The sequence below is a fragment of the Homo sapiens genome, chromosome 1 (assembly GCF_000001405.40).
Source record: "Homo sapiens chromosome 1, GRCh38.p14 Primary Assembly".
In the NCBI taxonomy this organism is placed as follows: domain Eukaryota; kingdom Metazoa; phylum Chordata; class Mammalia; order Primates; family Hominidae; genus Homo; species Homo sapiens.
Window position 1 is genome coordinate 45294960 of NC_000001.11, and position 12706 is coordinate 45307665.

At 47.9% G+C, this 12706-nt stretch overlaps 2 long non-coding RNA genes across 2 annotated transcripts, besides 5 other annotated features; one reads left to right on the top strand and one right to left on the bottom strand.

Moving 5' to 3' along the window:
- Positions 1 to 852: 852 nt before the first annotated feature.
- Positions 853 to 8787, bottom strand: LOC105378691 (uncharacterized). Its single transcript, XR_947287.4, has 3 exons — positions 8533 to 8787; positions 2793 to 2979; positions 853 to 1783 (listed from the first exon to the last, which is right to left on the bottom strand). It is a non-coding gene; the product is annotated as an uncharacterized LOC105378691 (long non-coding RNA).
- Positions 5278 to 5572: a silencer, noted in NCBI's record as "tiled region #9521; HepG2 Repressive non-DNase unmatched - State 8:EnhW, and K562 Repressive DNase unmatched - State 12:CtcfO". NCBI's record gives its function as "represses a minimal TATA promoter and a strong SV40 promoter by Sharpr-MPRA in HepG2 and K562 cells {active_cell/tissue: HepG2 | K562}" and the evidence as "EXISTENCE:reporter gene assay evidence [ECO:0000049][PMID:27701403]".
- Positions 8524 to 8583: an enhancer, noted in NCBI's record as "active region_960". NCBI's record gives its function as "activates an Ori minimal core promoter by ATAC-STARR-seq in GM12878 lymphoblastoid cells {active_cell/tissue: GM12878}" and the evidence as "EXISTENCE:reporter gene assay evidence [ECO:0000049][PMID:35858748]".
- Positions 8674 to 8853: a silencer, noted in NCBI's record as "silent region_828". NCBI's record gives its function as "represses an Ori minimal core promoter by ATAC-STARR-seq in GM12878 lymphoblastoid cells {active_cell/tissue: GM12878}" and the evidence as "EXISTENCE:reporter gene assay evidence [ECO:0000049][PMID:35858748]".
- On the top strand, positions 8951 to 10660 carry LINC01144 (long intergenic non-protein coding RNA 1144). The gene has a single exon (NR_024270.1). It is a non-coding gene; the product is annotated as a long intergenic non-protein coding RNA 1144 (long non-coding RNA).
- Positions 9044 to 9283: an enhancer, noted in NCBI's record as "active region_961". NCBI's record gives its function as "activates an Ori minimal core promoter by ATAC-STARR-seq in GM12878 lymphoblastoid cells {active_cell/tissue: GM12878}" and the evidence as "EXISTENCE:reporter gene assay evidence [ECO:0000049][PMID:35858748]".
- Positions 11454 to 11633: an enhancer, noted in NCBI's record as "active region_962". NCBI's record gives its function as "activates an Ori minimal core promoter by ATAC-STARR-seq in GM12878 lymphoblastoid cells {active_cell/tissue: GM12878}" and the evidence as "EXISTENCE:reporter gene assay evidence [ECO:0000049][PMID:35858748]".

A 12706-nucleotide genomic window follows, 5' to 3' on the forward strand; every position in this document is an offset into this window, starting at 1 on the left:
ACTTTTAAGTCAAAAGTTTTTTGGTTTGTTTGTTTGTTTGTTTTTGAGATAGAGTCTCGCTCTGTCACCCAGGCTGGAGTGCAATGGCATGATCATGGCTCACTGCAACCTCCACCTCCTGGATTCAAGTGATTCTCCTGCCTGAGCCTCCCAAGTAGCTGGAATTACAGGTGCACACCACCACACCCAGCTAATTTTTGTATTTTTAGTAGAGACGGGGTTTCACCATGTTCCCCAGACTGGTCTCGAACTCCTGACCTCAAGTGATCTGCCTGCCTCAGCCTCCCAAAGTGCTGGGATTACAGGCGTGAGCCACTGCACCCAGCCTGTTTAAGAGACAGAGTTGCTCTGTTGTCCAGGCTGGGGTGCAGTGGCTTGATGATAGCTCACTGCAGCCTCAAACTCCTGGGCTTGAGTGACCCTCCTGCATCAGCCTCCCAAGTAGCTGGGACCACAGGCTTGACTGCGCCTGGCAAAGAAGATGTTTTAATAAATAATATTAATATAATTTATCTTTGTGCTAATGCAGTCATAAAATATAACTTTAAAAAAATGTTTACAGGCCGGGCACAGTGGCTCAGGCCTGTAATCCCAGCACTTTGAGAGGCCAAGGTGGGTGGATCACGAGGTCAGGAGTTCAAGACCAACCTGGCCAACATAGTGAAACCCCATCTCTACTAAAAATACAAAAATTAGCCAGGCATGGTAGCGTGTGCCTATAGTCCCAGCTACTCAGGACGCTGAGGCAGGAGAATCGCTTGAACGCGGGAGGCGGAGGTTGTGGTAAGCTGAGATCGCGCCACTGCACTCCAGCCTGTATGACAGGGCGAGACTCTGTCTCAAAAAAATAAATAAATAAAAAGTTTACATAGGAAGGGGCCCACAAAAGTCTGAATGCTGCTCTGTTTGTAACAATAAACATGCTTTCTGCTATAACAGAAACCCACTGGCAATGGCTCCAACAGTGACAATGTTTAATTTCCCTTGTGTGAGGAAATTCAGCGTTAGTGTGGCCTCCAGGGTTGGCAGATCGAGTGCCCTTAAAGGCAAAGACTCCTTCCATCTCTCCGCTCTGCCACCTTTACTGTTGGCTCCATCCTCAGGTGTTAGCAAAACAGCTGCAGCAGTTCCAGGACACCTTCAGACTTAACAACATTCCCGGGAAAAAGAGATACTTCTGTTTACATCACTCTCACCTAGGGGTGAGGAAACCTTTCCCAGAAGGCCTTCAGCAAACGTCCTTATTATGGAATAAATGTTTGTGTCCTCCAACATTCTTATGTTGAAATCCTAACCCCCAAGGTATGTATTAGGAGATGGGGCCTTTGGGAGGCGATTAGGTCAGGTGATTAGGTGTTTGGTGCCCTTACAAAAGAGACCCCCAAAGAACTCTCTTCTTATTTTGTTTTTATTTTTTTAGAGACAGGGTCTTGCTCTGTCACCCAGGCTGCAGTGCAGTGGCACTATCATAGCTCACTGCAGCCTTGAAATCCTGGCCTCAAGTGATGGTCTTGCCTCAGCCCCCAAGTAGCTGGAACTACAGGTTCTCACTATGTTGCCCAGGTTGGTCTTGAATTCCTGGCTTCAAGCAATCCTCCTGCATTGGTCTCCCAGAATGTTGGTATTACAGGTGTGAGCCACAGTGCCTGGCCCCCAGAGAACTCTCTAGCCCTCTTTCTGCCAAGTGAGGTCACAGCAAGAAGACAGTCAATGAACCAGGAAGCAGGCCCTCACCAGACACCGAATCTTCCCATCCTTTGATCTTGGTTCCCAGCCTCCAGAACTGTAAGAAATACATGTGTATTGTTTAAACCATCCAGTCTATGGTATTCTGTTATAGCAGCCTGAACTGACTAAGACGGTCCCTTTCATCTCACTGAGCAGGGCTGGAGCATATCTTCATTCCTAAACCAACTACTGGCAAGAAGGATGGAATGAATGTGATGGGCTAAGATCAATCATGTGGGGTGGAAGAGTGCTTAGGGAGTCAACCCTATGCCTTCTCTAGAAGTCTTCCTCCGGGAGGTGGGAATTGAAGCTGAAAGCATGGATGAGCTCACCCAGAGAGTGTTCAGAGGGAGAAGCACAGAGGACCTAGGCGCTTCAGTTGAGCTGGAAATCCAGCTCAACTGGAAGGCTACAGAGGCAGACACCGAATCAGTTACGGCTCCTGCTGCAGAAGGGCTTCCTGTCTGATGGAAGGGACCGCCATCAAATACAGTTACAGATGGACCCAAAGTGTAGTTGGGTCAGCCTGTGACAGTAAACTGGATTGAAGTCCCAGTTGTGTATTAATAACTGTTTGACTTTGGGCAGGTTACTTAAGCTCTATGGCTCAGTTTCTTCCTCTGTAAAGCACCCTATACATAGTAAATATCAAATAACTACAGTTATTATTGTCCACATGATTATGATATTTAGGTGGTGGGAGGCCAATGGATGGGATCTAAGCAGGAAAGCGTCCTAGTCAGCTTTACATTTCAATCAGGTAGCTTGGGCAGCCTGTGTTCTGTCCCTGCTCAGAGGTACCTCTTACCCTCACTGAGTTTCCATCCATCTTCCCCCAGAACTGAGCCCCACCAGACCCTTTCAGGCCCCAGCAGCATCTCCACAAACTCTCTCTGTTGATTTTAGCTGTGCTTCTGTGCCTCGGAATCAGGATGAGTTACTGAGTTACTGTCCCTCATTTCACCTCTGTCCACTTGGCATTGTTGCCGCTCCAAGAAATTAGTCAGGTTTATTAAGCACGACCTCTCTTTTGTGAGCCCTGTTCCTGGCCTGCTGATCTGTACCTGTCTGCTGCTCTCCTGGCTCGGCTCAACTGGAGAGGCCTCAGCCTCCATTACTGCTTTGGTGGGGGCAGGGATAGGCGGCCGGGTGGTCACATCTTTTGTTTGCAAAGACTGACGCACCAGGCTGGATCACAGACAAAGGCAGGACGCTCTGCTAGAGTGAGCACAAGGCCCTTTGTTGCCATGGCTGTGGAAAAATAGGAACAAAAAGGATAAATGTTGCATCAAAATATGCTAATAATTAACACTTAGCACCATGGATATAAAAAGCACTTAATGCTAAATTACAATAATCATAATAGCTAGTCTTTATTCAGCCCTACTCCATATGGCACCATGGTTTGGTAGCTTAGTATGTGTGAGCTAGAGCCTAAGTGCTTGGGTCCAAATCCTGGCTCTGCTATTTACTAACTCTGTGACCTCGGGCAAGTTACTCAAGCTCTCCTCTCTCAATCTTTGCATCTGTAAAGCACAGATAATGAAAGTACACAGCTCATAGGGTATATGAGTTCACACCATGCTTAGAAAGCACTTCAACATGGCCTGCCACATCATAAGCACTCAATGAATATTTTATTTTTATATACATTTTTATAGACATTGATCAGCAAATTTAGACCTCAAAACAAACTTGTGACATAGATATTATTATTCCTATTTACCAGTTGAGGAACTCAAGACTCAGAGAGGTTGAGTAACTTTCCCAAGGTCACCCACCAAGAAAATAGCAGAACCCAGTTGTGTCTGACTATAAAGTCCTGTGCTTTCCACCGCACCAGGTGACTGTCTTCCATGAGCTTCTGGCAAGAAGCCCCAGGTCAGTGTAAGGGTACACTGTTGATGACTGTCTCACAGTTCCCTCTTCCCTTTAGTCACAGTTGGAACACACTAGGTGTTTTCAGAATGAAGGACACAGGAGTCCCGAGTACAAGGCAGCATCATCAGTCGTTTCTGTCCACTCCAGCCCTGCATTATGCTCAGCCTGCCCTAGAATGTGCAAGGCCCAGTTCTCTGATAGAAGATGGAAGGCCAGCTGTGGAAGGACAGAGACATGACCCAGCTCTGATGAGGACTTGCTCAAGCTCCACCTGTCCGATGATGTGGCTAGCTGAGTGGAGCCACAGGGCAGAAACTGGCCACACCACAGGGCAATGGGTCACACCAGACACAGGGGCTGGGTAGGTCTGGGGCCAAGGTGGCCTTGGCAGATTTTTGCACCCTAAGACTCTTGGACAGAGTCAAGGAAATGCAGTGAACCTGCACAGCCTAAAGCCCACTGCATTTCAATAGCAGCTCCCTGCTAGGGAACTTAAGATTCCTGAAGGATGTTTGTATTTTGTTTTTTAATATGAAGGAATCCCAGAGTCTGGCTTATTACACTTCCTGTGGAGGGGACATCTGGCTGCCAGGCCACTGCCCATCACAGTCAGGCCTTGGTCCATACCTGTACAAAAGCAACTTTTGTTCACTATTCAAAAGCAGCTCAATTCCTAAGTGACTGCCTGGGCAAAATAAAACTCAGCCTTACAATGTCCCTGGGAAGGAGAGAAGCCTGGCTATACAATTAACTGCAGTCATTCACTGAGCATGACCCTGGTCACAGCCCCCACCCAGCACTTGTCCCTCCAGTTTATGGCTAACTCTCGTGCTCTCCCATGTCCAGAAGTCCCTTTGCAATCATATGAGAGTGGGCTAGGTCCATCCTGGACTCTGGGAAACATAGCCCTGGCTCCTCAATTAGAACCCAACTTGGTGTCAGAATAAGGGCCCATGAAGGAGCCTCCCTGGATGTCCCCAGGCTATGTCCACATTTAGCTCAAGGTGGCAGAGCCCACTCATGAAAGGACAAGCAAGCTGTCAATGCCATGTGCCCATCCCCTTCCCCAAGCCCTGATCACAGGCCCCCTTCCTCAACCCCTTCCACCCACACCTGCCTCTTGCTTCCCATTCATATCCCTGGGTTCCCAAATGAAGATTAGAGCAGCAGAAAAATGGCCAGGCTGCAGGTTCAGGGAAAATCACAGGAGCTCTGTGGTTGAACAGACATGGGTTTGAATTTCACCACTTAACACCTGTGTGACTTGGGCTGGTTACTTAATCTCTGAGTCTCAGTTTTCTCATTTCCAAAAAGGGAGTAAACTGTACTCTTAGGATTTCTATAAGGATTAGAAACAATATGTGTAAGTGTGTTATACCCAGTGGCACTCACTAAATGGTAGCGATTGCCTGGCAAAGGTGAGTCTCTTTATATTTATTTACAGTGTAAATACTGTTTCTCTCTTAATTCTTACAATCACCAGGCTGCATGCAGGGTCTGCCCACCACAGATGTTGCTGTGAGGGGCTTGGCTGGGTTGAAGCTAAGCCCTCTTGCTGGGCATAGACCTTGCTCCAGGTCAGATATGGGAGTTTTGGCTCTTCTGACTGTGGTTGGGTGACCAACTCTCCCACCTGCCTGGGATTATCCCAGCTTTAGCACTGAAAATTCCTTGTCCTTGGAACACTGAAAGTTCAGTCCTGGGAAAACTGGGATGGTTGGTCACCCTATCAAGGCAGCTGGCCAGGACAGATGGAAAGGTATCAGACCTTGTGGGAAGAAGCTGGGCTTTTCGACAACCTTTCCAACTTGCTGGATGAACACACCAGGCTGGGGACCACTCAGCCTAGACTGAGTTAAGCTGAGGCCAATGATGACATCTACAGGTCATATGAAAAAACTGCAGCCTAAGAATCACCCACTTGGCCCGTAAGTGGTTCGTTCATACATTTATTGTGGTTCATATATTCATATATGTAATGTGAATAAACATATTCATATATTTATTGTGCTCTCAACACTGGGCATAAGTCTCAGGGGTCTTGGAAGGCATCCGCAAGCAAGTGAAATTTATGCTGAGGCTTGGTGATTGAAAAAGTGTTAGCCAGGTTAAGGTGAGAGGGAAAGAAAGAGCATTCCAGGATGGAGAAAACAGCAAAGAAAAAAGCCCTGAGTGCGAAGGAACAGAAAACCTTCAAGAAACAAATTATGGCATGGAGAAGGGGACAGCGGTAACCAAAAAAAGCTGGAGAGTTTGTCTGAGCCTAATCAACCATGGAAAAAGTTTCTGTCTTTACCCTAGGAGCAATCAGAACTTATTGAAAGGTTTTAAAAAGCAGGATAGTAACATAATTAGATCTGCATTTCTCAAAGTTAACTCTGGCTACAGGGTGGAAGCTGGTTTAAAGAGTAGCAAGCCTACCACTTCAACCCAGGGGGTCAAGGCCACAACGAACTGAGATCACGCCAGGGCACTCCAGCCTGGGGTACAAAGTGAGACCCTGCCTCAAAAAAAAAAAAAAAAAAAAAAAAAGAGTAGCAAGCCTAAAGCCAGGGAGGCAATTAGAATTAGAATATCATTGCAGTGTCCAGGTGGTACAGAAGGTGGTGGGGACAAAGGGAGGAAAAGAAAGGTGACCGTTGGTAAGAAATAATGGAAAATTGGCCGGGCGCAGCGGCTCACGCCTGTAATCCCAGCACTTTGGGAGGCCGAGGTGGGCGGATCACAAGGTCAGGAGATTGAGACCATCCCGGCTAACACGGTGAAACCCCATCTCTACTACAAATACAAAAAATTAGCCAGGCGTGGTGGCAGGCGCCCGTAGTCCCAGCTACTCAGGAGGCTGAGGCAGGAGAATGGCATGAACCCAGGAGGCGGAGCTTGCAGCGAGCTGAGACCACGCCACTGCACTCCAGCCTGGGTGACAGAGCGAGATTCCGTCTCAAAAAAAAAAAAAAAAAAAAAAGGAAAATTAGCCAGGCATGGTGGTGTGTCTGTGGTCCCAGCTTCCCAGCTTCTCGGGAGGCTAAGGCAGGAGGAGCTGGAGAGGTTGAGGTTACAGTGAGGCATGATTGCACCACTACACTCCAGCCTGGGCAACAGAGCGAGAACCTGTCTCAAAAGAAAAAAAAAAGGGAAAAGGATTATGGAAATAGAATGGGCAGGGCCATGGTGATTGACTAGAGGTGCGCATTGAGGAATAGGGACATTCAAGTAACCAGACCTGTAGGTTTCTGGCTAGGAGAGCAGTGGAACAGCTACTGAGATGGGAGCATGAGAAGGGGGAGGATAATGTTGGGTATGATTGATTTGAGGTCCCTGTGGGACATTCAACTCAAGATGACAAATAAGCAGTTGAATAAAGGTTAGGAAGGGAGACTTCACTGTGTGGATCAACTGCATGTAGATGGTAACCAAAGCTCTGAGCAGCACCAACATTTCAGAGTGGGCAGAGGAAAGACAACATGGCTAGAGCAAAACCAGGCGAATGTGGCACTATGAAAGCTGGGAGAAGAATGTTTCACAAAGGAGAGAATGGTCAACTGTATGAAGTCTTTTAGAGAAGCAGTGAAATGAGATCTGAAGATTGTCCATAGGACAACATGAAGATCATTGGTGACCTTAGAGCCTTTGAAGGTGCAGTGATAGAGAGAAGCCAAATTAGAATGAGTTGTGGAGTGAGTAGGAGGTAAGGTTGTGGAGAAAGCGAGTGCAGACAATTTGAATAAATGTAGCTAAACAAGTCACTAGTGGGAGGGTAAATAGGTAAAATCATAAATTAAACACACACATAGCTTTTACCCCAACAATTCTACTTCCAAGAAATCAGCCTACAAATATACTCCATATGTGCACAAAGACCTACAGAAAGGATGTTTACTACACCATTTTATAAACAGCTACAATGTTAATCAATAGGGGGCTGGTTAAATTAATATAACACATCCACACAATATAACACACACAGGGTATTACGTGGCCATTAAAAATACCATGGTAGGCTGGGCGCAGTGGCTGACACCTGTAATCCCAGCACTCTGGGAGGCCAAGGCAGGTGATCACCTGAGGTCAAGTGTTCGAGACCAGCCTGGCCAACATGGCGAAACTCCCTCTCTACCAAAAATACAAAAATTAACTGGGCATGGTGCAGGTGCCTGTAATCCCAGCTATTCTGGAAGCTGAGGCAGGAGAATCACTTGAACCCCGGAGGCGGAGGATGCAATTAGCCGAGATCGTGCCATTGCCTGGGCGACAGAGCAAGACTTCTGTTTAAAAAAAAAAAAAATCATGGTAGGGCCGGGCACGGTGGCTCAGCCTGTAATCCCAGCACTTTGGGAGGCCAAGGCAGGCAGATCACCTGAGGCCACGAGTTCCAGACCAGCCTGGCCAACATGGCAGAAACCCCCATCTCTACTAAAAAGACAAAAATTAGCCCAGCGTGGTGGCGCATGCCTGTAATCCCAGCTACATGGGTGGCTGAGACACGAGAATCGCTTGAACCCAGTGGTGTGCCACTGCACTCCAGTCTGGGCAACAGAACCAGACTCCATTTAAAAAAAAAAAAAAAGTACATATGGTAAATATTATGTGTATTTTACCAAAACAAGTTTTTATTTTTAAGGCACAATCTTGCCCTGTCGTCCAGGCTGGAGTGCAGTGGCGCGATCACAGCTCACTGCAGCCTTAACCTCCCCCAGCTCGGGCGATCCTCCCACCTCAACCTCCCGAGTAGCTGGGACCACAGGCCTGCGCCACTACGCCCGGCTAATTTTTGTATTTTTGTAGAGACGGGGTTTCACCATGTTGGCCAGGCGGATCTCGAACTCGTGATTTCAAGTGATCCGCCCGCCTCGGCCTCCCAAAGCGCTGGGATTACAGGCGTGAGTCACCGCACCTAGCCGAAAAAGAATTTTTTAAAGTCACCATCTCTACGAGGTTTTTCTGGGCCACCCCCCGGTAAAATGTCAAGCCCTCGACGAGCCGGGAGAGAGTCGGAATCCTGTGGGGGAGGCAGGGGCGTGTCCAGAAAGGCGGGAGCTTCCGGAACCGCTTAGAGCTAAGGGAGCTCGGAGCGGGGGCCGGGGCCGAGGGCGGAGCAGGGTGGGGAAGGGGCGGGTCCAGAAAGACGGGAGCTTCCGAGGCCGCCTCCACAGGAAGGGAAAGGGGCGGGAGCTTGGAGGGGGCGGGTCCAGAATGGCGGGAGCTTCCGGGGCCGCCGCCTCTGGAAGGAAAAGGGGAGGGAACGTAGAGGGGGAGGGAACGTAGAGGGGGCGGGACCAGGAACGAGAGCGCGTGGGTTTCTGGGGTGTCCGCCGGCGCCCCCTGGGATTGGGGAGAGAGGGAAGGGCTGAGGCTCACGGTTTCGGAGTAAGGGGAGCGGCCCGGCGAGCCGCCGCGCCTGGGTTAAGAGCTGCAGGAGGAACGTGGCTTCACGAGTTCGGCTCCTCGGCCATCCACAGCCCGGGCCTCCGCCTCTGCTGACCTGGCGGCTGTAGAAGGCAGAAGAGGCCTGAAACCTGCAGCAGGAGCACCACCCTGCCCCGCGGCCCCGCGCGCCCTCCAGTGGCGTCATCCCATCCGCTTTGATCTCGACTGGCGCGCCTACCCTCGGCAGCGGCACCCCTTGGGAGCGCAATCGCGGGCAGACTCCGAGGACCCATCTTGCGAAAGTTCTGCGAGGTCCTGACTTTAAGGGAACAGGGGTCGTACTTGGGCCATGGCCGGAAGGGAGATCCAACATCCATGACGACGTCTACCCCCCAGCCTGCCCCTTCAGAGCCCAGTCTGTGCCTTGCGTCAAAGTCAAGCAAGGGCTCTTGTAGGGCACCGAGCCCCAGCCAAAATCACCCTTTTCTTTCAGATAGCCCCCACTTACCCCCAGAAACCTTACTCTCTCCCTCGGGAGCAGGTGGGAAGTGAAAGGCCGGGGGGGCTGTTTCTGCTCTGCTTGTCTGTACCTGTGGCCCTTGAGTGGAAAACCCCGCCGCTGGACCAAAGACCTGGAGGCTCCAGGATTGCCCACTTGGGACCCTGACTATGAAGGGTCAAGATAGCCCATTCTGCCCCAGCACTCAGAGCCCTATTACCAAGGCCCCTACTCCAAGAATCCACCATCAAAACCGGGGCCCTGCCAGTGCCTTCCCAGTGTTCAGGCCTAGGGAAGAATAGCCCCATTATGCCTGTTACTCCTGATCCTTCTGCAGTCTCTCTCTTTGTGACCCCATGGCCTTTGCTGCTATGTCTGCCCTGGCCCCACAGAGTGCCAGGTCAGAGCCACCCTGGCCTACATAGCAGGGCCCCGGTTCACAGGCTAAAACCTGGGCCTCCTGCCAGGCTGCAACTCCCAGCTGCACACCGCAACCTGAGACATCTCAGCATATTCTAGGAACTAGTAATGGGGACGCTTCCGACTCGCTGGGGAAGGGAGATGAGGGCCTCTAGCTCTCCATGCCCAGTCTCTCATCATCAAAGTCATTTAAGGCCCCAGCGACCCCAGGGTTCAGCAGCATCCTGTTCATCATGAGCAGAGGGGTGACTGAATAGAATGGGAGGCAGGTGTGGCCTGAGCAGTTCCCAACCTGAATTTTCCTTTGAGCTTGGTGATTTGGGGCGGGGGATTGAGATATTTTCCTTTCACTTGTGGGAAATCTTGGGGCCCCACAAATCACTAAGCTGAAGGGAAAAGTCAAGCTGGGAACTACTCAGGGCAAACCTGCCTCCCATTTTATTCAGTCACTCCTCTGCTCGCTGAGATAGACACATACCTGATTGCCTCCTTTGGAGAGGCTTGTCAGAAACAAAATAATGCAACCATTTGTCTCTCAGCTACCTGCGACCTGGAAGCCCCCTCCCCACTTCGAGTTGTCCCCGCCTTTCTGGACGGAACCAACGTACTTCTTACATATATCGATTGATGTCTCATGTCTCCTTAAAATGTATGAAAACAAACTGTGCCCTGACCACCTTGGGCACATGTCGCCAGGACTCCCTGAGGCTGTGTCACGGGCACGCATCTTCAACCTTGGCAAAATAAAGTTTCTGAATTAACTGAGACCTGTCTCAAATTTTCAGGGTTCACATTTTGGTAATCATTGAGGGATTCTGAGTGGAGATGCCCCTGACTTTTGACAAATCTCCCATTGGTGCATGGTACCAGCATGAGCTAACTTTATGGCTCAAACCAATAGGACAATTTGCTGAGGTCTGAGAGTACCCCGTCCAGAGAATCCCTGATCTCCCAAAATTTAGTCAAGATCTAAAGTTTATTTTGCTGTACAACTCCTCTTTTTCTAGAGTTTTACTTGCTTCCAACACAAGGAAGGCAACTTTTCTCCTGCTTCCATGACAATGGAATGCAGGTAACTCCTATGGAGTCTGAGCTCACTTCTAACAGGGAAGATGAGTTTGTTTTTTGTTTTTTTCCTGCTTCTAGGATGGTAGAAAGCAGCCTTCGGCCTGAGACCCATCCCTAGATAGGTAACTGAATTGGGGTTTGTCTTGGATAAAGTTAAGATTAACAACCAGCTGGTCTTAATTTCTCCTTACCATTAGAGCGCTCAGTGATCATATTGTTGGTTTTTTTGTTGTTGTTGCTTTGTTCCAGTCTGAAGTTGTTGTTTAAGGATCCTAATTCTTGTTCAGAGATGCATTCTAAAGGGTCTTCTCTATTGCTTTTTCTCCCAAATTTAAACTTAATTCGGTTTGTCTGTGTGCATTTGCGTGAAGAAGTGAACTGTTGTTTTCATACGTTAATGACAGTTTTCTCAGCTCTGAAGAGAAAAGGCATTTACTCCTCCCAGCTGAAAGCGCCCCTAGGTGACTGGGGGCCTCATGGGAGTCTCTGGGGGGGTTAACCCCTTGCGACGTGCAGCGGCCCTGGAGGGAAATCCCCAACAAAAATTAATTTTAAAAATGGCTCATCCAGGAAACGCATATAAGGGCTGATCGCCCAGCCTTTTGAGCCTTTTCTGGGGTCATAAACCTCTGGAGAGAGAAACTGAGACATGTAAGAGGGTGGAAACGACTCAGCGATGACACACTGTAGCATCCTGCCCACAAGCAGCACATAGCAATCAAAAAACCTGGGCCACAGCTCAGTTCCTCCTATTAAGAGAGAAAAAAAAATTGGGAAACAATATAAGAATGAGGAGGAAACAAAGAGAATGACCCCCTTTCCAGCACTCCATAGGTTGTATGGCACATCTACTTGCCAAAGTTTATGTAAAATGGAAATAATATGGTCTTTGTGCACATTTACATTAAGGAAAAAGAGCCCTAAGATCGACCTGCAAATTATAGAGTTCCTAAGTGCTCTTTTTCTCGATTTTTTTCTTTTCTGCCTGCTCTAAATCTGCTGTTATTTTTCTATTAAGATAAAAACCACTGCATCCAACAAGTTCTTTTTGCAGGGTGGTGAATTTGTGTTTATCTCATGGCTAAAAGTTCTGAAGTAAAAGCTATAGGATATTTGTTTATGTGTGTGTCTATGTGTGTGTGTATATATATTTAAAAGGCCTTTATAATTTCTACGATTTTATGCTTAATTGGCAATTAAATCTGTTTTAATTTCCCTCTAGCACACCAAACGTTTTCTCTCCGACCTTATAATGTAAATTTTGCTATTTGACTTTCACCTAAGTTGTTTCCTTTAATATGCAAATTTAAGGCTATTTAGCTGAAAACTGCCCAGGGTTATGAAATAGGTCATCAAGAATCTGAAAGTCTAATATAGGGGAAAAAAAGGTTTTCATAAATCTGTAAAATGTAGTTCTAAAGCATGCCTAATATGTCTGTGTATTTATGTGTTGTGTACACAGTGTTTCACTACTAAAAATATATAAAAGAGTGCTAATTAATTGGCTTAAAACAATGAAAAGCGCTTAAATCATATACTACAAAAGACTAGTGAAATGCTCTTTCAAGTTTATGTAACTTAAGTAAAATCTTTAATAAATAAGCTTGCTTTAAAATTAATGGTAAGGTAATATTAGAAACATCTTAAGAATTGCCCGCCTACATTTTTCTTTGCATGTATTAATGAAGCAATTTCATACTCATCCCTGCCAAATATTATAAGGTGTCAAAATTTGGCATAGGG